This window comes from Homo sapiens, chromosome 4 (assembly GCF_000001405.40).
Source record: "Homo sapiens chromosome 4, GRCh38.p14 Primary Assembly".
Taxonomy (NCBI): domain Eukaryota; kingdom Metazoa; phylum Chordata; class Mammalia; order Primates; family Hominidae; genus Homo; species Homo sapiens.
The window spans coordinates 127,390,307-127,416,718 of record NC_000004.12 but is presented as its reverse complement, the minus strand read 5'-3'; the positions used below and the strand labels follow the sequence as shown (position 1 = coordinate 127,416,718).

The window sequence follows — 26,412 nt, the reverse complement described above, 5'->3', positions numbered from 1 at the left end:
TTCTTGGCTGATAGGGTGTTTTGTGTAAATGTGCCTGGAAACTTGAGTAGGTAATAATGCTTTATTAATTTTTTTAGAAGTATTTAAACCAATTTTTGAGAATGTGAGTGTGCTAGTGAACAAATTTCATCTCAGTAAGAGATCATGCCCCCTTGCTCTGCTGGGCCCAGTCTAGTTACATACGTATTTTCTACAAACAGGGCACTAGGGGTGGGTGCCTGGCAATGGGCTTAATTGTTTGATGACAGAAGGCATTAAAAAACGGAGGGAAGTCCCTTGGCACTGCAGAGGGGAGGAGAGAAGAGAGAATAAGAAGTCTGTGATCCAGACTGTTTATTAACCTTGCCTTTCTGTGGAAAAGATCATTCACCCTGTCACTGGGCATGGAACTGGCAGCTGGGGTGTTGTCTCTGGCCCCTGAAACCAGATGAGCAAGGCTGTTGAAGGATGAGTTCGGCTGCGCTCCAGCTACCTCATGCTCTGAATAAAAGTCACAAAGAAACTCAGATGCAGCATATGCAAGACTGCGCTGAGGGGCTAGAAGCTTTTAGCTGCTAATTTGTTCTGTTTCCAAAGGACTAGCTGTTAAGAAGCAGCAAGGGCCATGGTGATGGAAAATATTACTATGTAAAGGTTGCCAATGAGACTGCTTGAAAAGGTGTTGGTAGGAATTTTCTTTTGGAGGTGAAGATGCTCCTCCACTTATAATGGGGTTATGTCTGAATACACCCTTCCTAGGTTGAAAATATAGCAAGACAAAAATTCATTTAATATACCTAACCCAGTGAACTTCATAACTTGGCCTAGCCTACCTTAAATGTGCTCAGAACACTAAGCCTACAGTTGGGCAAAGTCATCTGGCAGCACAGAACCCCATAGAGGTTGTTTACCCTTGTGATGGCATGGCTGACTGGGAGCTGTGACTTGCTGCCACTGCCCAGCAGTGCGAGAGAGTATGGCACCACTTTCTACTGAAGGCATATGGCTTTTACTCCATAGTAAAGTAGAAACATTGTAAGTTGGGGCCCATCTGTATAGTCAGTGACAGGCTAGTATTAAAACTCATGGATATCAAGGATTTGCTTTCTCCTGATAGCTCTGTGGCTATGGGCTTCTTGGACTATAGCTCCATCCCTTGGGTACCAATAAAGCTGAAAGTTCTGTAGTACAGTTGCAGTGCCTGGTGTGTGGGGACAGAGATGACAGTCTAGGGTACCTGACTAGATATTCCTCTGTGGTTCCAGAGTAGAGTTGGGTGAATAATTGCTGAGATATGTCCAGGCATTGTTCCATCTCCTTGTATTTGAACCATGGCCTCTGGACAGAGGACAAAGAATTATGTCAGAATTTACTTAGTGGTAGTGAAACAGCCCAATTTAGTTGTCTTCTAAAACTTTGTTTCAGCTGACATGGACCTCTAGGGTAAAAAAAAAAAAAAAAGGAAATGGTTTAGAACATGAAAGTGATAGAAGGAAACACCTTATTTATCTTTCCCACTCCTTCCTAAGACGTAAACTATTTGGAAGTTAAATGTCTGTGTGCATTATGTTTTGCAGGGCTTGGATCTTCCTCTGATAGTTCTACTTCATTCTGTCAAAGATCCAATTCCCGAAAGAGTTTTTTTCATCATCTTCAAACATCCAGTGAGTGTTTCTCTATGATGTTGCTTTCCTGATGCCTCTACCAGGCTGTCTGAGACATCTGGTAGTTCACAGTTCTTTTAAAATTTTGGGGATGATTTAATATTTAAAGAGTAACTTTTTGTTGGAACTTCACATCAGTTTTTCCAATTCAAGTTATCAGTATTAACTAAGCTTATGGTGTGCCCTGCATGAGATTTGGACCTCAAAGAACATAGGAGATCACATAGACTTCATACATCTTAAACAATTAGAGAACATTACCAGAAAATATAAATTTAAGAGTTCATTTATGTGGAGCAAGCTCTTAAGTGCAGGATAGATTAGGATAACTGAGAGTGAACCCTGGCTCTGCCACCCTGCATAAATCATAGTCTCTCTAATCCTCATGTGTCTAATAGGGATACTATTAACTGTCTCTAGGATTGCTGAAAGGATTAAATAACACCCAAAATGTGCCAAGTGCATCATAGGCACTCAGTGCATGTCAGTTAATGCAATGTAGTATGGGGAAGACATAAAAAGAGGGAGGAAAATGTGAATGAGATGATGAAGGATGGGGAAGACATGATTAGCAGAGAGGAGTGATGAGGACATTTGCAAGGAGATTGGAGGGAGAAAGTGAGTTAAGATAGGGAGCTGGGAATGACTTAGGTGTGGCCGTGGGCCCAATTGGGGTGGAGGGTGACATGGTAAAGCAATAAGATAAAAAAGAGGACTTGCATGACCAGCTAAGAAGTCTGATGAGATCCAATAAGCAGTTGAATATTATATGAACACAAGTGACATTTTGGAAAGATTTTTACAGTATGTAAAACTAATGCAGCAGCCCTATGAGGAAAGTATTGTTATTATCCTCATTTTCCAGGTGAAAAATAGCATTTGGAAGAGGTTTCAAAGAAACTTCACATAGGTATTTACTATGTGAATATAGTAATAACATTAATGACAATCAAAATGAAAGAAAACATTAATTCATAATTTAGCCATTCAAATAGACTGTTTTCATTTTCCCATATTCTCAGTTGGTTTTGCTTTTTTTATTCCAAGGGAAGGAAAAATTGTTATGAATATTATTTGAGTTAATTTCTGTCAGTGCTTTAAACAGTGCCTGGCACAGAGTAAGCACTCACTACCTGTTACTTATTATTTTTGCTTTAATACAAACTAAGATGTCATAGAGTAGAAGAGATAGTCTGTGATGACACAGAGCCTAAGTAAGGGCACCGGGGCAGGCAAGTTTTGTGGCCTTCCTAGTTTTCCTCACGTCATAACATTCCATGTGCAAACTAAACACAAAGAGAATTCCCAGTCTTTTCCAGAATGGAATGGGGTATGGCTGATACGCAAAGTTATTTGCTAGCTAAATTCTTTGGTGGCCTGTCAGAGGTTTGCTGTCACTAACCTGAAAATGGTGGGAAAGAAAGAACAAATAATAAGTTTATTACAAAAATTTATGTTCTATTCAATGGATAATCTGTAGCTTGGATTTGTTGTTGGCTTAAAATATAGGTATAATTCTTATACTGTTCTTAGAAAAGAGATGAATTTTTTAAAAACTTGTTACATTCTTGACAGTTTTATAGGGTAAATACTTGAGATTTTAGTGTGTTCTAAGAGTGAGCAAGGCAGTTTATGTCAAAAGTCCTCATTTTAAACCTTTTCTGGTAGGCTATGGGGGAGTTAGCAAATGAGTATGTTATATCAGTTACTTAGTTTGCAGTAATTTATCTCTGGACTAGTAAAACTGTGAACTCTTCTCTAACTGCTAACCCTGAGTTAGTTTTCTAAAGACTTTCTTTTCATGTTTCTAAAACCTTAGCTGTTGATACCACTTGGATAGACTCATTATTTTTCAAGTGCTGAGGTCTAAGTTGTTGAATAAGCAAGACTAACCTTTGACATGAAAGAAAATTTAGAGGAAAGAAGGATTTCATTAGCTTTTCATTTTCAAGGCCATGTCTTATAATATGAATTTATCAAGAACATGAGTCATATTTTTCACACCTCTGTGTACTTTGGGATATAAACATTTAGGGAGATCCAAAGGTACAAAGACTGCTCTGTGCTGGGGAATATAATAAAAAATTAAGAAACTGGAATTGAAAATAAAACTCCTTTGTGCATTCTTTATATGACTGAATAAGCTTTGTGGGCTTTTGGGTCTTCTCAAATCTCCTTGAAGGGATTTGTGGAACAATTATAGTGGCTGGACTTGCCATTACACCCTTTCTGGGAAGCCTAGGAGGAAAGAAGGCTCATTTACAGTGTAGTCTGGTAAATGGGTTACAACTCTGCTGAGAGGAGTGTATCTTTTGCACTTATAAGCAGTACCACAGAACATCAGTTGGTAAATGGATCTAGGTTTTATAACTTAGCTGAATCTCCTCATGAAGATATGGAGACATTGATAATAATCATTAATACTTTCAAGTTCAAGGGCTTTAGGTTGCTTTATGCTTTTTTTCTTCCTCTTCTCCCTCTATGCTTGCCTTTCTTTCTTTCTCCCTCCTCCCTCCTTCCCCACCTCCCTCTGTTCCTCTCTCCCTTGGTCTCTCTCTTTTTTATTTCATTCAATCATTGTAAAAGCAGCATTTAATAAGATTTCATAAATAGATGATTTTATTCTTCATAGAGAATCTTCAAGTTTTTCTGGAGAAGAGATTCAAGCTATGAGGATAGGTAAAAGTAAGAAACCTTTTGTATTTGCTCCTAATTTACTGGTGATATACTGAAGAGAGGTTTTTAAAGCATTACTTATTTGAACAATCTGTCACTATCATTAGCTTTCATTTCACTCATAACCTGTTGAGGAAATGATTTTACCATAGAGTTATTATATACAACACAGATCATTTTTGTTGCTCTCCCCCAACCCTTTATTTATTTCCCTCTCCCTCCCTTCCTCCCTCCTTCCCTCCTTTCCTCCTTCCTTCTTTTCCTCTCTTTTAATCACTTCAGTATCCACAACTCAGCCAAAGTATTAACTAGAGTACAAGCCTTTTTGACAGTTGGACTATTGTGATATGGTACCTGGGAGCACTTGCTACTGCCTTGCCTCATTCCATTTTGGTATATGCTGTTGGAAAGATGGATTTTGGAGGATTGGATAGCAGAGCAGTAGTCACTCTTACCACAGTCACATATGCAAGAAAAATACAGCATTTTGGCCTTTTTCTTTCCTTATTGCTGACAGTCTCACTGGGTAGCTAAGAAAAAATAAACTTTATGTTTTGCAGTTTATAATCTTTTACATTCGTTTTTGGCTTAGTTGCTTTTTGATGGCTCAGTGTCTTTTAGATTCAATTCATGGCCCTTCAGATTTCTATTTCCTTTCTGTGCTTTTCTTCCAGATGGAATCTGAGGGTGATTTCATGGTGATGAGTGAAGCTGGGAACTTTTGTCTATGTAGCATCCTCTGGATCTTTGCTGTGGTCTAGAGTGGTGCGTCTGGTTTGTACCCTGGACTGGTCCTTTTCCTGGACATTCTGCTGATGTTTGTTATAAAGTCTCTGATTGTTAAACATGTGATTATTTTCTCTCCTCTTGCCTTAATGTATTAGTTAGGATTCTCTAGAGAAACAGCACTAATAGGAGATCTGTCTATCTGTCTCTCTGTCTGTCTGTCTGTCTGTCAATTATAGGAATTGGCTCACACAATTACAGAGGCTGAGAGGCCATACTATCTGTCATGTGCATGCAGGAGAACCAGGAATGCTGGTGGTGTAATTCAGTACAAGTCAGAAGACCTGGGAACCAGGGAGCTGATGGTGTAAGTCCCAATCTGAGTCTGAAGACCCAATAACCAGATATACTGATTTCTGAGGGCAGAAGATGAGAAGATGGACCTCCCAGATCAAACAGAGACAGGAAATTTGCCCTTCCTCTACCTATTTGTTCTATTCTGGCCCTCCATGGATTGAATGAGGCCCACTCACTTTGGGAAGGACGGATCTTCTTTTCTCAGTCTACTGATTGAAATGTTAATCTCTTCTGGAAACACCCCATAGACACACCCAGAAATAATGTTTTACTAGATATCTGGATATCCCTTAGCCCAGTGAAGTTGATGCATAAAATTAACCATCACAGTTAACAAGCACTTAAAGGCTATGTCAGACAGTTGGTTGCTCAGGTCATTTCTTAGGATAGTGCAAAAACAGCCATGGAGAAGTTGGCCACGTCACTCTGAAAGCAAGTATTCATAGTCTATTTAACTTGAGAAGCTATTCTTTCCGGTCTGCTTTCTACACTCTGTGGCCCTGGTCTCAATACCCCAAATACAGAAATTCAACTGGTTCAAGTTACATCATGGGGAGTTTTTCCATTAATCATTGTTTTCCTTTTTACTAATTCCTTTTTTTTTTTTCAAATGGCCTTTACCCTCATTGCAGGCAGCCTGAGCTCACTATTTTAGAGAAAAAGGATCAGACAGAACAATTAAAAACAAAACAGTTGATGCCAGCTTCTGAGTTTAAAACTCCTGGTAGAGATAGCAGTTGAAAGAAAGGTTTGGAAGATCAGCAAGAATGGATGATAATGTAAGCGATTGTTTTCCTTTCCTTGACTTGATAAAGATTCCTCATGATGTGGAAACAAAGTTGGAAAGAATGGTGTCAGATGCTGGCAAGGCTCGCTGTGCTTTTCCCAGCATCTGTCTTAGTGACAGTCTCAGCCCTGGGGCCAAGTGATCTCAGAGGAGAGGGCCCATGTGCCTCAATTCCTGCCTGGCTGTCCAGATGCTACAGTCCTTATTCATGGAACAGCGGAGTAGTTGGAGACAGCACAGGGTTACCAGGAGAAGGGCCTCCTAGAGAATCTCCATGTGCTTACATGGGGGGTGAGGAGGAGCCAAATCTTTTCCAGTACAGCCAAGAGTGGTGTAGATGTGGCACCAAAGGCAGGCAGCTGTGGAGAGAGACGCTGGGGCCAACACTGGAAAGCAGCCCAGATAGGTAGTGTCCTTTTCAGCAGATGCCACAACGGAGGTGTGACGCCTTCCATGAGTCAGGTGGAATGAGGTACATTTCAGCAGAAACCAGTGTGGACTGAGGGGCAGGTGCATCTTCCTGATGCCATGACTAGGCCAACTGGAACTTAGATGTGGGAAGGGAGGAGAGAACCCCATATTGAGTTTACTCTGATTTGACAGAGATAGTATTAAGTTAACTGAGTTTAACCTAAATTAATGAGTTTAAGTTTCCTGCTATCAAGTGGAGTAAGGAGTAAGTTGAGTTTAAAAAAAAGGCATGCCTCTTATATTGAACCCATTACATAGATTTTCTAGCACTATAAACAACAATATGAAAGCTAGCAAAGAAATGGAGCATGTTAAGAAGCCTTCCAAATATGATCCACTTCGTCTTAGATGACTTGTGTTAAATTGGAGCTAACGTGTTCCAGAAAAACATTGAGGTGTTGCTCCATTATTTAGCAGGAGTGATTCCTACCTCTTGCTAGGAGTGTGGGGCACACAGTGGCATGTTCAATGACAAGAAATCCAGCAGTCGTCTTCTACCAATATGGTCTAAAACCTTCTTAAGGGTTTCTATCACTTCTTCAGCTAGATAATTTGCTTAAGGGTGATGAGATTTGTTGGTAGAAGCTTCGGGAGGCATTCTGATGTAGAAGAAAGCATGCAGACATGGGGTTAAAAACACATGTGATTTAAAATTCCGTATCTGCCCCATACAAGCTGTGTGCCCTCAGTTTTCTTTTCTGTGTAAAAGAGCTAGTCATAGCTGTTGCAGTCTTTTCTTTTTGTTTGACCTTTCCCCCTTATTCCCATAATGGCACCACACCTCCCCCACTGTAAATACATGTGATTCAACAGGTGCCAGCCCTACCCTTCATTCTGTGTGGTCCAGGCCTGGCTAATGAGGGCTCTTGACACCCTGGTCACAGTGATTGGTTCAGGATAGACACAGGACCTAAATCAAAAGAAGCAGAGTAAATCCCAGGATTTTTATTTGAAGAATTGAGAAGCAGCAGCTCACTTTCCCTACTACTTGCTAAGCTTGAGGAGTGATAAGCCTGGAACCAGCAGGCACTGTCACATTGAAGAAAGACAACCTAAGAGTGAAGTCATGCACAGAAGAGTGGAATGGAGAGATGGACAATCTGATTTCTTCTGGCAGGATCTGAGCTCCTGAATTCTGTCATGCCTGTGGCCCAGTACTCCTGTATTTTTTAGAGGATGATGAATGGCTTTCATTTTCCCCGCTTCATGTTTGGAACCAATTGAATGATACCAATAAGAGTTAGACAGATGGAGATCAAAGTATTAGCTGTAATGCTAATAAAAGCTGAATTAGTAAACATAGTTTAGATGTGCAGGCACAGTGGATTTCCTAGTGCTTTCCCCTGAATTGGGGTTATAGAGCCAAATCCTGCATGGGAAGCTTAGCATGTGGTAGAAAGCAAAGCAGAACACTGTCTGTAGTGAGGTAGGGAGGCAGATCCCTAAGTCAGGGAGCAGAAGAGACTGAGCTCAGCGGTACCCACTTCTGAATACATCAGTTGTTTAAGTCCATCTTCCTTCCACAGGATGAGTGAGGAGGAAGTGTTACTTAGGCAGAAGAAATAACACATGAATTCAGAGCACCAGAAGTTTTCCTTATTCTTTTTGGGTACCTGAGCTGATAAATTTTCTTTTGTGCTTTAATTTTTTATCACTTGCCAATGAGAGTCTTGACTAAATTTCATTCATTCGCTCTACCAATTATGGACAGGTATTATGCTTTATTATGTTGGAGTGACAACACTGAACAAGTCCTTGTACTCAAAGACTTCACAGTTTGGCGGGGATATGGATGGCATGTAGGCAATTGCTCCCCTGTGTGATAAGTTCCAGGATAGGAGTAAGAAGTGGATGCTATGGGAGTGAATGCCCTACACTCAGGCCACAATGGAAGATTTTCTAGGTTTCTGTGAGGATGAATATCAGGGGAACCAGCCCCCAATATTTCAAACATAGGTTCTTTTCTATTTTCCCTAAGTGTCAGCCAGTCTAAGAAATAAAGGGAAAGAGTACAAAAGACAGAAATTTAAAGCTGGGTGTCTGGGAGACATCTCATGTCGGCAGGTTCCGTAATGCCCCCTGAGCTGCAAAACCAGAAAGTTTTTATTAGCGATTTTCAAAGGGGAGGAGGTGTACGAACAGGGTGTGGGTCACAGAGATCACATGCTTCAAAGGCAATAAAATATCACAAGGCAAATGGGCAGGGCAAGGTCATGAGGCCAGGGCAAAACTGGAATTGCTGATGAAGTTTCATGTCCCGCTGTGCACGCATTGTCATTGATAAACATCTTAACAGGAAACAGCGTTCAAGAGCAGAGAACCGGTCTGACTAGAATTCGCCAGGCTGGAATTTCCTCATCCTAGCAAGCCTGGGGGTGCTGCAGGAGACCAGGGCGTGTTTCATCCCTATCTACAACTGCACAAGGCAGCCACTCCAAGAGCGGCCATTTTAGAGGTCTCCCCCTGGGAGTGTATTCTTTTCCCAGGGCTGTTAATTATTAATATTCTTTACTAGGGAAGGAATTCAGTGATATTTCTCTTACCCGTTTTCAGTAATAAGAGAAATATGACTCTGTCCTGCCCGGCTCCCAGGCAATCAGACCTAATGGTTATCTCCCTTGTTCCCTGAACATCGCTGTTATCCTGTTCTTTTTTCAAGGTGCCCAGATTTCATATTGTTCAAACACACATGCTTTATGAACAATTTGTGCAGTTAATGCAATCATCACAGGGTCCTGAGGCGACATACATCCTCAGCTTATGAAGATAATGAGATGAAGAGATTAAATTAAAGACAGGTATAGGAAATTATAAGAGTATTGATTGGGGAAGTGATAAATGTCCATGAAATCTTCACAGTTTATGTTTTTCTGCCATGGCTTCAGCTGGTCCCTCTGTTTGGGGTCCCTGACTTCCCGCAACAGATGGCATGAAGTAATGTAGGTAAAGTTCTTGCTATACTATGATCCGTTAATAAATGCTAGTTTCTTTTTTTTCCTTACTTGAGATAGTGCCTGGCACATGATGAGTAGTAAAAAATGACTTACAGAGTGATTAAGGAACTACTGAATAATTTCTGAAATTCATCAGATTACAAGTGGAACCACTTTCAGAGGTTATGTATCTGAAAATTTATAATTTTCAAAAACTGAATCTGTGAATATTGCAGTAGACATTAGAGCCAAGAAAACTTCTTTGTGAATATAGCACCAATTCATTTCAGCTACCACCAGATTGTCACCAAAATGCAGCTCTAATTATTACCACCATCATCACCATAACAATATGCCATGGTTTACAAAATATCTTTTGTATATTACCTTATTTTATTTTTGATGAAATTATTTTTTAGAACAGGTTTATAATTACAGAAAAATTGTGAAGATAGTACAGAGAGTTCCTACATATTATATACTCACTTTCCCCCTTATTGACATCTTATAGTTGCACTATAAGATGCACTATTCATGCACTGTTGTTAACTAATGTCCATACTTTATGGATATTTTTATTCCATACTTTATTCACACTTTCATATTTCTCACCTGCTGTCTTTTTTCAGTTCCAGGATTCCATCCAGGATACTGCATTATATTTAGTTGCCATGCTTTCTTAGACTTCTCTTGGCTGTGACAGTTTCTCAGACTTTCCTTGTTTTGATGACCTTGACATTTTGAAAAGTGGTGGTCAGCTGTTTTGTAGAATGTCTCTCATTTGTGATTTGCCGGATTTTCTCATGATTAGATTGGGGTTATGAATTTTTGGGAGGAGGACCACAGAGGCAAAGTGCCATTTTCACCATATCAAGAGTACAGACTATAAACATGCCTTATCCTCTTACTGATGGCCTTGATCATCTGGCTGAAGTAGGTTTTGTCAGATTTCTCCACTGTAAAGTTATTCATTTTGCCCCCATCTATAGTGTACTTTTTCCTTCATTTAATTTTCAAATTTACAAAGGCCTCATAAGCAATGGTGGTGTCATAAATAGAAATAAGCAAGTTCCGTGAATCATAGATGTGTTACGGAGATCAAATAGGCAATGCTTCCAAATGTGCTTTGAGATGTGTCAAATATATGCATTTATGCTGATATTTTTAATTGATAATTGATGATATTTCAAAGAAGTAAATCTTCAAGAAATTTGAGGTCTTGGTATAGGATAATGGGAGAAATGCTCTGGATGACAGAGTCTTTTGATCAGTCTTAAAACTTGTATCTTTTTGAGTGACCACCTGCTCTCTTTCAGTACAAAGCCAAAATTATATACCTTTCTGGTGGACACTTGTCAAATGCAAATTTATGATGCAGAAATTTTGAGCAAAAGCAGGAGCAGGGGATCCATAATACAACATTTTCTCAGATATTTAGAGCAAAATTGGAGCAAAAATGGTTTACTTTTACCATCATTCTCTTTTCATGCTCCTTAACTGAGATCTGAAATATAAGAGAGGAAAAATATGAAGCAAAAAAAGGAGAGAGGACCGGAAGATTTAGCCTGGGAGTGGTAGCTCCTGAGTGATTTATTATGGGCCAGGGAAAGCTTAGTCTTTCTTCCATATTTTCCAGGAAGGATGTGATGAGTTGCAACAACAATCTGGTGACTATTGCAGGCTTGTTTGAATAAGTCCTTCTTTATGCCTGGCTCCTTTTAAACTTGTGTTCTGTGCCTACCTCAGGTTAAATGGCTAATCAGTTTTCTCCTGCCTCCAAGAAGTAAGTCTCTGAGGAGCTTTACAATTTTACTAGTTCAAGAACATCAACATTTCTCCACATTCAGCATGAACCAGAGGTGAAGCAATGGCCGTAGTTGCTCTTTGTGAAAATACTTCTCTCTTTGGGCTTTAAATCATGTCTTTTTCCTCTCCACCACTGGTTTCCTCCTTTGCAATGGAGTGTTTTCTGATTATTTTCCCACTACTCTTCCAAAAATTCCGGAATCTATGAGAATTAAAGGCACAATCAAATTTTAAATAAATACCTAATTTTCTTTATTTGTATGTAGAGGAGTGTCCATACCATTGCCGTGTTCATTAAAAAAGTTATTTAGGGAGATCTTGAAGCAGCGAATTTGATTTTACTTTGTTGATTTCTTATTCAGAGATGCTGCTGAAGAATAGCCATTTTGCGGAGTGAGGGTTTTTAGGTTTAGGATAGGCTGTGGGACATAATGTTTAAGGCTATGAAGTTTGGAGTCAGATTACCAAGGTTATAACTGTATTCTACTACTTACTACCTATGAGACTTAGGGCAAATTACTTAACCTCTCTGTGTCTCAGTTTCCTTTTCTGCATTGAGCATAATAGTCCTAACTCATAATCATCCTCCTCATTGTGAGGATTAAATGATTTAATGTATGTAAAACACTTAGACCAGTGTCTGGCATAGTAAATTCTTTACGTGCGCTATTTGTTATTTGTAATAACTATAAAAATTCATTGGCATGGATGCCAGTACTCTGCATTTGTTCTCCCTCCCTCTCTCATCTTGTGTCCGGGAAGTTGGCTGCTGACTGCGAACAGCATTACCTCAGCCCCCTTTTCAGGTGACCTGCAGATGGATTCAGCCCTAGGAGGACTGGAAAGTCATGGTGGATGGAAGGCAAAATAGGTGTGGTTCTTTTTTCCTTGCTTCTTCCCTGCTTCTGTGTAGCGGTTTCTCTTGCAATAGATGTGGTCCTCTGTGATTGAGCTCCTGGTGGGCAGCCCCTTCTGCAGCTCCAACTCTCACTGGGCTTCTTAAATACTCTTTCCTCCCTGTCCCTTTCAGCCCTAGGAGTGGTAATGCTTTCCATGGGTGGCCTCTGGGTGTCTTAGCATCTCTCATTTTTAGCTCAATCCCTCCTACACCCTGTCCTAGGTCCCTTTATAGGCCTTTCTTCACTTGAACTATCTGGGGGAGAGTTTTTTTTTCATGAAACTGCAACCCATACAAGCTTCTATAACTTTACATTAAGATGTGGCAATTTTGGAATGCCCCAACTCTAAATCTGTTCTTGTTAATAAGCCAGAAAAGCTTCATTTAAAAATTGTATTTATTATTTGTAAATATCATGCCTCTTAATTCTCACATTAAATTTCCTGAGGACAGAAATTTGTATGTGTGTGTATGTGTGTATTCCTTGTAGCTTTTAGCACAGTGCCAGATATATAGCAGGTGGTAAAAAAAATAACCCTCTACATTCCTTTTCAGAACAGTGGACATGATGGTTTACTCCAGCGACACATTAAAAGCTTTGCAACTATAGCTGCTTTAGTTTAAATCTCTCAACAATTACTTGTTAAGTTTTAAAGGATTTATTGCTTGTGAAAGGTGCCAAAATAATAGCACTGTGGAAGAAAATCCTGTTGTCTCACAACAGACTGTGACTGTCCAAGCTCTGCTTCCTGCCAGAGAGCCCAGTGGAGCTGATTGAAACATTGGCTCATTTTTAACTGGAGTTTTGATGTTCTGGGAGACTGGGTGGTTTACCTCCCCCTTCGGAAATTCCAGGAGAGAACTAGGTTAAGTGTTTTCTCTTTCCAAGGAGTCTTTCATACAGTCCTCCTGCTACATCCTTGAGTAGACTCAACTCCTTAAAGAGGGAGTAGTTAATTAATTTCATGTCTATGTACTTTTGTCTGCAGAGGAAGATGTCTGTAATGTGGGAGACATGGCCCACAGAAATGGTTTGGTGACCTAAATAATCGTAAACAAGATCCTAGATATAACTTGGCTCTTAGCATAGAAAGCACTTAAGTGCAATTATAGGCATAAATATTTAATCTTCCTGAGGAGAGAAATGTAAGTGGCTGTGTGAGTTACTTGACTAGTGGGTCTTAGAGCTCCATTCTTTTAACCTCTAAAGCAAGGGGTAACAACAGCTATCTTGTACGTTTATTGTGAGAATTAGAGATGTTTACAGAGTACCTAGAATGTAGCAAGTGCTCAACAAATGTTAGCAAGGAATACTGAGAAAAGCTAGATTGGAATGTGTCTCTGTGTGTTTGTGTGTGTGAACTGAAAATGAATAGAAATGATCACTATGTTTACTTGGTCAACAGTTTTAAAAGGTTATTTACTGCTTATTTGCAAATAGGCCAAGAGGGAGTCTAAGAAACAAAAGAGAACCTCTTAGGGGCTTTACCAAGTTAGTGTTAGGGTAGAATGACTAATTTTTCAATATCTCAGGAAGATTTTTCAGGCTATTGTTAGAGCTTTGGGTATTTTATTTTATACATCATTTTACATGATTTGGGAATATTTTAATAAGAAACTGAAAAATTTAGTATTCCAGTATTACTAGATTATTTGGGGTATTTTCATCAGCTGAGATAATTAAATGCGGCACACTATTTTATGCACAATAGGATCATACTCTGTTCTTGTCACTCACGTAGCACATCATCACAGAAGACATTCATTGCTCCTAGTACTATTATTCCACTTTCATACAAAAATACCGGAGCTTACATTGTTCACAGAAAAATAACAATAAGAGTGGTTTAAACACTGGAAAGAAGAAATATAAGAAATCCAACAAGAGAGGCGATGGAGAAGAGCCATCATGATATAGTGGGATAGGTACTGGAACTGAAGCCAGAAAGCTGCAATTATGCCAGCAGATAGCTGTGGTACTGTATGAGAGTTCTCTAAAGAGGCAGAACCAATATGATCAATCAGTCTATCTATCTCCATCCATCCATCCATCCATCCATCCATCCATCCATCCATCCATCCATCCATCCAGTTAAAGATACAGTTGTCCCTTGATATCCTGGGGAGTTTGATTCCAGGACCCCCCACAGATACCAAAATTCATGAATGCTCAAGTCCCTTATATAAAATAGCAAAGTATTTGCCATTTACCACCTATGCACATCCTCCCATGTACTTTAAATTATCCCTAGATTACTTATAATACCTAATACAATGCAAATGCTATGTGAATAGTTGTTATACTGTATTGTTTGTAAGTTTGTATATTTTATTGTTGTATTTTAAAAAGTACTTTTGGTCTGTGATTGGTTGAATCCATGGATGCAGAACCTGCAGGTACAGGTGCAGGCTGACTGTATTTATTATAAGGTTTTGGCTCATACAGTTATCAAGCTTGATAAATCCCATAATTTGCTGTCTGAAAGCTGAAGATCTCAGAAAGCTGGTGATGTAGCCTGAAGGTCTGAGAGCCTGGGAGTCAGTGGGGTAGATTCCAGTATGGGTTCAAAGGCCTGAGGACCAGGAGCATAGGGGGCAGGAGAAGATGGATGTTCCAGCTCAAGTAGTTTAATGTTCCTCTGCCTTTTTGTTCTATTTCAGGCCCTCAGTGTATTGGATGATACCTGCCAATACTGGTAAGAGCTGATCTGCTTTACTCAGTCTACTGATTTAAATGCTAATCTCTTTCAGAAACACCCATACAGACGCATCCAGAAATATAATGTTTAATCAGCTATCTGGGCATCCTGTGGCCCAATCAAGTTGACACATAAAATTTACTATCACAGTTACCTTAGACAAGTCAGTTAAATTCTCTGAGCCTTGGCTTCCTCATCTGTAATAAATGGGTATTGCACCTTACCATCTTGAAAATTGCTTCCTATGATTCACTCTGCTTAGCTAGTGTATAAAAAAGATTAGCATTTATTTATCTAATTTCAAAAGTACTTGCTCAATACAGAAAATCTGAAAAACCAAGAAAAACACCATGCCATGCCCCTCCCTTCACTTTCATCTATATTCTTCAGAGGTAATCACTGTAATATTTTGGTTCTGCCCAGTTATTCTAAGCATAACTACACTTTTACATTTAAATGCCTTTTCAGTTAGTAATTAAGTAAAAAAAACCTATAAATTTGAGAAAATCATAGAAATTATTCTCCTGTCCTTCCTGGGTATTAGGTGTATTTAAAATAGCAATCTATGGGAAACAATGCTTCCATCTTTGACAGCTAACTTTCCAATAAATGAATCTAATGTTGGAGTTTCTTAACAGGTGGAAGCTTGTTGGTTGGCATTTGCCATAGGAAGGAATACTTTTGGGAATGAAGTTCTTGGAGAAGGCCACTTAGCCCAATCACAAGTGGGGACTCTCTTGCTAAGGTTTCATGATATGCTCACCAAAGGATAGGCAATCTCCACTAGGTGGTAGTGTTGCCACGTGGCCCAAGAAGATAAGCTGCAAGAAACTGGCTAAAGATTATGTGAATATTAAAGACAGAAGTTTGGACATGAACAGCAAACCTGCTGAGGGCCAAGCAATATGATTTTTGACTTGTTCTAAGTGAGAGCCAGCTGAAGACTTGTCTGGAGGACAGTCACATGTATTATGTATATGCTTTAAGGTGTATTTATAAAACACACACACACATGCGCACACACACACACACACACACACACATAAAATAGATATAGGGAATTATGTCATCTGGGAACCAAACTAGGAGAGCAAATTTCCCTCAAAGAGGTAAAAAGTATAATATGTAATATGATAATTACATAGTGCACACAAGATGTATTTTGAACTTTTCGGAAATAAACCTTTCAGGCGCAAGTTCTGTTGCCAAATAATAATAATAGCCAGAAGAGAACTATGTCTGTGGTTTTCGTATAATCTCTTCCAGTTCCTCACACACACCAAATTATGCTCAGTAAAGTGGGGATAACACATACTTTTCAGGGCAAGTTCGGTAAATTGAACTCTTTCGACCAAAACACTAGCAAAACAACATTGAAAGATCACAATATTTAGCTTCTCTTTCAGAGTACACATAAACATCAGGAAAGAATGAAGATACCCTCATTTAAAAATCATTAAAAATTTTTGGATTTGAAATGACAATTTAAGCTTGGTTTTCTCAGACTTGGTAGATTTTACTTACAGACAAGTCTTTTTTAGGGGTCATTCAATGTTTTAGTGTCTTCTTTACTCTTACATATAAAAAATTGTTTTCCTTTTTGTATCTCATTATTTTTTTCTCCATAATGATATTTATATCCCCCCTTTTACTGGAAATAAGATAGATGGAAAGGGATAAACCTTTTATGATTCCATTTTACCATATTTCTCCATGGTAAGAAGATACAGTGGAATTCATTCAGCACAGAGTTAAAAATAGAATTAAAACATGCAATGTACATCAAACTGACATTGTACCTTGACACCTAGAAACTGTACAAGTAGGTGGTTTTAATATTAGAGTAAAAATAAGAACCTTTAATTTTCTTCTACCAACCTCTTCCTTTTTCTCTTTTCATGGAATGTGCCTCTGAGGTGGATGCTCCATTGAATTTTTCCTAATATTTGTGATTTCTTGCAAGCTATTAATATGTGTGAGCAGCAGAGTTTGACGGCCATGGGCCTTGGATGACTGCTTTGGCCTGGGGATATTCCTAGGTCAAAGGATGCCCTGAAATTCAGGTGGGTGGCAGGACTGACTCCAGAAATCTAGGTCTACTTTGAGGAAAAATCCAGGAATACTGATCTGACAAAAACTCTGAGGTCATTTTGGAAGCGGCCAAGATGCTCAATAGTCTCTTACAGATTAAGGCCAGCACAGGCGTAAACTGGCCAACCATGCCTGTGTGCAGTTGGTTTTGGATGACAGGGATGAAGCTTTCTAAGAGTAAGCTACAGTGGCCTCAGCTCTCGGTCAAGTGTATGTATATGTATGCGTGAGGAGACTTAATTAAGAAGGTGGGATTGTTGTAGTAATTTCCTTTGAGTCCTCATTTAAAATTGACTTTAAATGCTATTAGCTCTTGAGGTGAGGGGAGAAGGAAAGGGAGTAGAAGGTTAATTGCTAAGAGTAAACACATCCAGTGGTGGTTCTGCCATAGGCCACTTGAGAGTCAAATTTAGATCCAGATGAGATTTGAGGTATCTTCTGGGCCATAATCCTTCTTGTACCAGGAACCTTTGTCAGTTGTAGTCTGAATCTAATTTTTGTAGAAGTTTGAAAAATTCCTAACTCTGCTAAACCTCGCTAAGGAGTTGAAGTCTACTTGAGATACCATAAAATTTTATGTGCTTATTACTGTAGACTTTTGGAACAAAACCAAATATAAATAAATATACAAACAAAAGTATAAAATATTTCTGGTCATGTTTAACTTACTTGATTCTTTGGGTAAGGAGATTTTTTAAGCTTGGCAAAAATATTTTACTCTACCATAATTTAAGAAGAGTAACTGCAGTATGCTGTCCACTCTTTTGTCTGTGAATTTTTATATTTTCAAGAGAACAAGAGCACATAATATTTTTGCAATCATGGTGGTCTCTTTTTCTTTAAATTCTGAAGGATACCATCGCTGCCAATGGATAAAATTTCTTCTGGGAGTACAGATAGACTTCCATACAGGATTACTTTGCAGTAAAGTCAGAAATCTGAAGCACATGATTTAAATGGTTAAGCAGTGCTTGCAAGCTGTGATATCAGAGGAAATAACTGCTATTAAATGAAAGCTGAATAGCAGTGTACAGGGGGAAAAATTCTCATTTTCATCAACTAATAATCAAAACAGTTTGACACTGGCCAGAGAGAGCCAAAAAATATGGAAACGATTATTGAGTTGAATGAAATATCACAAAATTATATGTTATTTTGCATTTTGAGTTTTTAAGGTAAAAACATTTCACGAAGTTTCTATTATGTATTGACCAAATAAAAGAAAAATGGTTAGGAGTGGGTTTAAAGGCAAAAGTAAGAAATGTGATATCTTAAGATACCAGTGGAAAAATGTTTGGATTATTCTGACTTCCACATGCATAGCTCTACTTTAAATCCCACAGCTCACTGCCTATATTATTAGGTTGGAATAACCAATTCTATAATGGAGTAAAAATGATTTCACTGACAAGAAAAAGATGCCTTATAAGTCTAGTTGGGGTTTTGATCAAATGCGTAGAGTTCACTTTGTCTTAAACAAGAAAGTGATGGTGATTGTCATTAAAGCTCATGCTCTGTTTTTACTTTTGTGGGACCATTATACCCCCTAACTGCATAACACTACAATAACAAAATCACGTTTCCTGCTATTTCAAGAAATCTGAAATGGTGATGAAAGACATTTCCTACCAATGATGTCAGTGGTTATTTAATTGCCATTAAGATGGTAATGAAACTCTTTCTTGTCACTTACACCTGATGAAGTGTTCTTGATCAGATTGTGTGAAAAAATGACTGCCATTATATTATTGCTCTTTCTAAAAACTAGATTTTCATTGCTTTAATAATGTTAGCAAAGCAAGCTGAATTATGTTTGGCATTAGTTCTTGAATTATTGCCTCTAAATAGTATTATAAAAATTAAACTACCTTAGTTTTCCGTACTAAGGATAACTTACCTTTTTTTTTGCAATATTGAGAAAAACCTCATTTTTCCATTACTTGAGATAAAAATAAATCACCCATTCTAGATCTCAAATTGCCTCTGTCTTATTAATTTTAACTACCACTATCATTTTTTTTTCCTGAAGTCTAGAGCTATGCTTAAGTCACATCCATGGGACATAAAGCAAATTAAAAATTTCTGGATATTTTTTCTTGGCTTGAGATATTAAGGAATACGTAATAGTCCTCTCTTCTCTCACATTAATCTTGATATTTTCTGTTACCTGATTAACTGCTTTCTTTACTTGGCCACCTTCTAGGAAAGGCTGGAAAAGAAAGAAAATAAACAAAGACTATAAAACAGGAAGAGAGCTTATAGCATCAGTTCAGAAGTAGAGAAGCAACATTATCACTGGCATAAGAAAATTTCCCTATATCTCAAACCCTAAACAAGGCTATCGATCTTTAACTGAAAGTTGATGATAGTATGGTTAGTTGGAAAAAATATCAATGATGGATTCTATTTCTTAAACATTATTTTATTTCCAATTTTTGGGGTACATAGTAGGTATATATATTTATGAGGTACATTAGATGTTTTGATATGGGCATGCAATGTGAAATAATCACATCATGGAGAATGGGATATTCATTGCCTCAAGAATTTATCATTTGTCTTACAGACAATCCAATTGCACTCTTTAAGTTATTTTAAAATATACAATTAAGTTATTATTGACTATAGTCACCCTGTTGTACTATCAAATAGTAGGTCTTATTCTAACTATTTTTTTTGTGCCCGTTAACCATCCCCCAATGACAGAGTCAATTTTCTTTACCCTTGCAACTGAATTTGACAATGTGACTTACTTTGGTTAATTGGACACTGGCAGATGCTAGTGTGATGAACACTTACATGTCGGAGCTTACCCTATCTTGCTATTCTTTGGAACCCTGAGACTTCTGTGTAAAGAAACTCTGAAAGTCCCACTAGAGCAAGCTTGTCCAACCCACGGCCTGTAGGCCACATGCAGCCCAGGACAGCTTTGAATGCAGCCCAACACAAATTTGTAAACTTTCTGAATACATTATGAGATTCTTTTGCGGTTTTAAAAAACTCACCAGCTATCGTTAGTGTATTTTATGTGTGTGGCCCAATACAATTCTTCTTCCAGTGTGGCTCTGGGAAGCCCAAAGATTGGACACTGCTGTACTAGAGGATGAGAGAACACATGGAACACATATGACCTGTCCTCGCTCAGGTCTCTCTAAACCAACATGCCTGCCAACCCTCAGACATGTGAGTGGGACCATACTAGATTATTCAGTCCCAGCCAAGTTGGTGAGGACCAGAAGATCTGCTCAGTCAATTCACAGACTTATAGGAGATAAACATGATTGTTATTTTAAGTCATTAAGTTTTGGGACTATTTGGTATACAAGTAAAAGCTAATTGAAACAAATATAAAACTGGAACATTTGTTTTGGATGAAAAACACTGTCTCACCAAATTTCTGTTTTAAGTGCTTTTATTTCTATTATTGAAAAGGTACTTCAGCGGAAAAGTTGGTTTTAGTTTCATGAAGTCAGTGTAGCATGGGTAGCCTGGTCTGTAAAGATTCAATGACTTGAGTCATTTTAGTTGAAAACTATACTTTTCTCTTGAATTCCTGGGTGCCTCCATAAACTTTGTAAGATCTGGTTGCAATAATCTGTCAAGATACCATCACTTTTTAAATTATTAGGCTTTTCATTTCAATTTTGCTTATATGTTTTTAAACCATTACTTTTTATGTGAACATTTGGGAACCAAACGCATTAGCTATTGCGAATTTAATGTGACACATCATAGATGTAAGTAACATTAGCGGTAACACATTTTTTTACATTCCCATTGGAACTGGCAGCAAATTCTCAAAACTATCTGAGAAAGACTTTGCTGTATTTACTGTCAATAAGAATTATATCACAGATGCATGTATAGAACACATCTTCGTTCTGTCTATTGAAGAATATCTGGACGACAAAAATCCATTTATATTTGAATATATGCTCTCTCTCTCTTTTTTTTTTTTTTTTTGAGACAAAGTTTTCCTCCTGTTGCCCAGGCTGGAATGCAATGGTGCGATCTCGGCTCACTGCAAGCTTCGCCTCCCAGGTTCAAGTGATTCTCCTGCCTCAGCCTCCCAAGTTGCTGGGATTACAGGCACCGGCCACCACGCCCAACTTATTTTTTGTATTTTTAGTAGAGATGGGGTTTCGCCATGTTGGCCAGGCTGGTCTTGAACTCCTGACCTTAGATGATCCACCCGTCTCGGCCTTCCAAAGTGCTGGGATTACAGATGTGAGCCACTGCACCTGGTCTGCTCTCTATTTTTTTTTTTTTTTTTTGTTGAGACGGAGTCTTGCTCTGTCACCCAGGCTAGAGTGTAGTGGCATGATCTCGGCTCACTGCAAGCTCTGCCTCCTGGGTTCATGCCATTCTCCTGCCTCAGCCTCCCGAGTAGCTGGGATTACAGGTGCATGCCACCACGCCCAGCTAATTTTTTGTATTTTTAGTAGAGATGGGGTTTCACCATGTTAGCCAGGATGGTCTCGATTTCCTGACCTCGTGATCTGCCCACCTCAGCCTCCCAAAGTGCTGGGATTACAGGCGTGAGCCACGGCGCCCGGCCTGCTCTCTATTTTTAAAAAATTGATTGATATAGGTTGTTGACTGAGTGTGAAACTGTTGGTGAATTCAAGAAATTGCAGGGCTTAGAAATTGTGAGCATTCATCTTATTCTAGGGTTGTCTTGCCTTTTGTTATAATTTTGTCTTGACATTTTGATTGATACATGTACTGAATTCCTTTTGGATAGGTTGATTTGAAAGCTCAAATCCCAGGGATGGACAGAATAGTTTTTCATTTTATTTTTTGTCCAAGATGTTCAGAGTTGCAATCTATTCTTTTAAATACATGTTTTACCAGATGATCCAGCTCTTTGGAACCAGCTGGCTCTATATTACTCTGTTAGAAAATAAGTTTTAAAAACTGCAATCTAAAATCTGGAAGAGTTACCCATCTGGATTAGTGACAACTTTGCGTTTTCAAAGAGGAAATATAATTCATGCTACAAGTTATTATTTTGGAGAAAATTATATGTAATGAGTGAAATTTCATGTCTAATACCTTGCTCCAAGTTTTATTGATAGCAATTTAAAATTAAATCGTTTAGCTTTATGTCAAGGCAGCTATCAAGCTAGCTGTATATCAAACTGAGAGGACCAGACAGCCCTACTTATGAGTATCAATGAACTCAAGTATAGCAACTTTCTCAGTATGAAAGGAAACAAGTCTACTTAGATCTGATTTCAAGTAAAGAATTTATTTTTCTACTTTAACATGTTCCTGTCAATTTTGTTTGAGATGGTATTTGCTATGCAGTAGGTTTAAACTAATCCTGTTGCTTTTTTTTCCTAAAAGAAAAAAATATTTGTTTACTTCTGGTGGAGAGGTTAGATTGTATGTGGTCATTCTTTTAATAAGAATGGATAAGAACAAATATCTGACCTATGAGTACAGCATACAGTTCCTCTAGCACTGACATATCAAGTCTCAGAGTATTATGCTTTAAAAAAATGGTAGAATTTAGAGTTAGGTAATTTGGGCCTAATCTGCTGATTTGTTGGGTAGTCTTCAGTAACTCACTTAACCTCAGTTATAAAATGCTTTGAAATCCTTAGATGAAAGTTCCTGTGTTTGAGACAGAGTATCAGACTTGATTCTTATTTTATACAATCCTCAGGGGAAATTTTGAGAGCATTACATAGAACTAGAATTTGGCACAATAAAATTATAATGGATTTGGGGATTAAGTGAGCATGTTCAGTTTTTATGATTATTAACCATTGCAACAGCTCTGAATGATGGCAAAACATTCGTTTTTGTAGAGACTAGGTGCTGCAGAGAGAAATGAATGAGGCTCCTCAGTGGCCTGGCAATTAAAGCCAAAAAGAATCTTTGATTGTTCAAAATGGCTTAAAACAATGATGAGCATGTGGTGATTTTTCAGCTTTTATCCCCAATGAAAGATTAAAAGATACTTAAATAAAATGCAATTATCATTTAAAATATCTCCCTTCAGGGACATCCTGCTTTACACGTATCTGATTCTGGGAGAAGGACTGGGGAAGGCCCTGAGGTGGCACTGGGCTTCACAGTGTCAGACATGTCAGGCCTGGATGCCTAGAATCAGACACTGAAGTGCTATCTCTAACCCTTTCTTTACTGGTCTGAGGATTGCATGTAGCCCTTTGGAAATAGGGTCACTTTTAAGAGGTGTAAAATCTGCTTTTGCCTATTGGAAATCAGAGATCTCTTAGATTCCCAAACCAAGGTATGATTATAGAAGGGGTAATATTAGGTTGTCATTAGAATGAATATTCAGACAGGACTGTGATCAGAATGTGTCAACGACAATCCTGTGGTCCAGGTCTGATACTGCCCTACTCATGGAATTAACCTAGTGATTGTTCTGGAAGCCTGGATATAGTTTCATTCCAATCACATGGAAAAAGCTTAGTGAAGGAAACTGAAAACATTTTCAGATTCTTTGAGTCCTACTACAAAACCTGACTCTGCACCTACCCTGCATCAGTGCTATACTTGGTTTTGGGGATATGGTGGTTCAATAGACAGACACTATTGGTATGCCTGCTACAGTAAGCAGCCACCCTTCTGAGTGATTGTTGTTTTTAATAAACTTATTATTTCATGTGAATAATAGCCATTTTATATATTGTTCTTCATTTTAGAATGCTATGCTTCAACAGTGACTGCAATCTGAGGTGGTTCCCCCAAAACCATCTAAGATCAGCTTATTTCATTTGTCCAGTAAGCGTTCATTAAAGTAACCTTTATTTTGAGCCTATTTTTTAAGTGCTAGGCACTTTCCCTTGGATTGGAACCAAATTTGTCCTTGGATTAGTATCTGTAATTGATCTCTGGAAAGGCTACTGCTGTTGTGAGACTGCTCCTGAAACTTGTAACCAGCTTGAAGTGTTTGGTTTTACTTGGTCTCACTGGTTTGTCAATATTTATGTCTTCCTTGACACTTAATAGCTAATGTGCTACCATGTGTTGTTCACTACCTTTACATACTCAGCCCCACAAAACTAGCATGTTGTAGATCATAAATACTTTCACCAAACATTTATTGTACCCCTGAAATGCTCTGAGGAAACACAGTGCTTACCTTCAAAGTGCCTTTAATCTAGAGGGGCCATATAAGGAAACATTTACAATAAAGGATGATAAGTGACAAAACAGACATAAGCCTGGGATATTGGTGAAACACAGAAGAGGATTACCTAACTCAGACTCTAGGATGTCAAAATGAAAAGGATAGAACCCCCTTGTACTAGTGATCTATTACTATGTCACAAATTATTATAAAATAAAATGGCTTAAGACGATAATAAGCATTTTTCCCCTTTTCTCACCATTTCTCCGCTTCAGGAATTTGGGAATGTTTAGCTGGGTATTTATAGCTCAGATGTCTCTCATGAGGTAGCAGTTGAGATGCCAGCCCAGGCTGCTGCCATTTGAAGATTTGACTGGAGCCCAAGAATCTGCTATCGAGGTGGTTCACTCACACAGCTTTTAAGTATGTTTTGTTTGTTGGTGGGAGACCTCAATTCCTTCCCACCAAGGTCTTGTCATAGGACTGCTTGAGTGTTTCCATGACATGGACACTGGCTTCTCGCAGAGTTAGTGTTCTAAAAGAGGCCAAAGCAGAAACCCTAATATCTTTTATGACCTGGATTTGGAAGTATTACACCTGCACTTCTGTAGGTATTCTATTGGTTACTTAGGCTAGCCATGATTAAATGTGGTAGGGACTACACACTGGTGTGACTACCAGGAGGTTAGTACACTGGAGGCATCTTGGGGGCTGGCGCTCACACCAATCTTCAGGGCTGTTTAGTATCTGTGATTCAGTGCTAGTCCCAAAAACTTTAACTCACGTGGGCCTTGGCAACTACCACTGATGATGCGGGCCTTTGAATTTCATATATTATAAAGTTTCATATATTACTATTGCTCTTCCTTGAGTCATATGGAATAACAAGATGTTAGGGAAACACTGGATACAATTGTTTCTTAACACAGTGCTACTGAGAAATTAATCCTGGTGGTGTCATTGGCAGTTAATAGGTTTCAGACAACATCACAGAAAAACAGTGTTTGCTGTTAAACATGGGGATTACAAAATAAAGTATTATTTCTAATAGTGTTGCTTAGACATTATCATGGGGCTCCAAGTGGGAACTTCTTTCCTTAGAGGCTTGATAATTAGCCACTTGTGTAGATCGGCCCATATTGTTTGTAGCTTTAATGTGAGTTTCAAGCATTGAGGCAATGAACCATTTAATACTCAATAATGTAAGCATCCTCCACATCCCATCTCAGCATAGTGATGTAGCCAATAAGTATTTGGGGCTTGAGGCTTGAAATCTTTGTTTTATTCAGAAGGGAAAGTGAATGTTGATGATTAAAAGTTAAAAATTATTACATATATTGGATAACAGTATTCTGCTAATACTAGTTTTAGTTTTGTGGTTGTATCAAATGGTGCTAGGAAAAGGGCTTTAATTCTTCTGAATTCTATTAGCCCTTGCCCAACAAGCCAACTCATATAAACATATCATCTAAGTACAGAGTATTTGTTATATACACTCCACTTCAATATTCTGGATTATTTTAAGCCCATTGTATATAAAAATCTTAGGGCTGTCACTGTTCCAGTCCAATCACTTTCCTCTTCATATTAACATAGCTCTAAATTACTATAGTTAAGACTTTTCAGCCTGTTGGGTTTTGGCATGTGTGGTGCACCTGCATTTATCTGCATAAGATCTGGCCCCTTTTTCCTAATATGTCATTATTGGAGAGTGTCAAATTGATTGTGGTTACAGAACCTTTTCTGCCTATATCTTGTTTGCAACCTAAATTGGTTATTAATCTTCCCATTTAAAGCAAGTTTTTCTGCTTTATAACCACTCTGATACTTTGGAAGAGTGCACAATTTTAGTACCAAGCTTGATAGAGTCTAATGCACTTGTGATAGTATTTGATATAGTTTGTAATTTGGTGAAAGTAGAGCTGTATTTAAGCACAAAGTTTCAAGCTGCAGAGATTGGTGAGTATATATTTTAATCTTCCCCACATAATTGATCTTCCTTTGATCTATGTAGGTACCCCATTACTAGCAACCCTTTTGCATATAGCTGTTATGGTCTCTTCTTTATTCTATATTTAACCTAGGCTCTGGGGCACATGTATATCTATTTAAATTTGTTGTGTAATGTGGATACACATTCAGTTATATCTTCTCATAGGCCTGTCAACATCTTTCATTCTGTCTTGTCAAAGACTAACCATACTCCCTACTCCCAGC

The 26,412-nt window shown here is 38.4% G+C and overlaps 1 long non-coding RNA gene across 1 annotated transcript in view, besides 1 other annotated feature; it reads left to right on the top strand.

Annotated features, from left to right (window-relative positions):
- The window catches only part of LOC102724210 (uncharacterized), a 396,780-nt gene that overhangs the window by 53,837 nt on the left and 316,531 nt on the right, over positions 1 to 26,412 (top strand). Inside the window, exons 2-4 of the long non-coding RNA XR_001741824.3 lie at positions 1,557 to 1,643; positions 5,285 to 5,412; positions 14,959 to 14,993. This is a non-coding gene — a long non-coding RNA (uncharacterized LOC102724210). The remainder of the gene's footprint in view (positions 1 to 1,556; positions 1,644 to 5,284; positions 5,413 to 14,958; positions 14,994 to 26,412) is intronic.
- Positions 8,950 to 9,210: a silencer, noted in NCBI's record as "fragment chr4:128328664-128328924 (GRCh37/hg19 assembly coordinates)". NCBI's record gives its function as "represses an EF-1alpha promoter that drives an FKBP-Casp9 reporter gene in an ReSE screen in HepG2 liver carcinoma cells {active_cell/tissue: HepG2}" and the evidence as "EXISTENCE:reporter gene assay evidence [ECO:0000049][PMID:32094911]".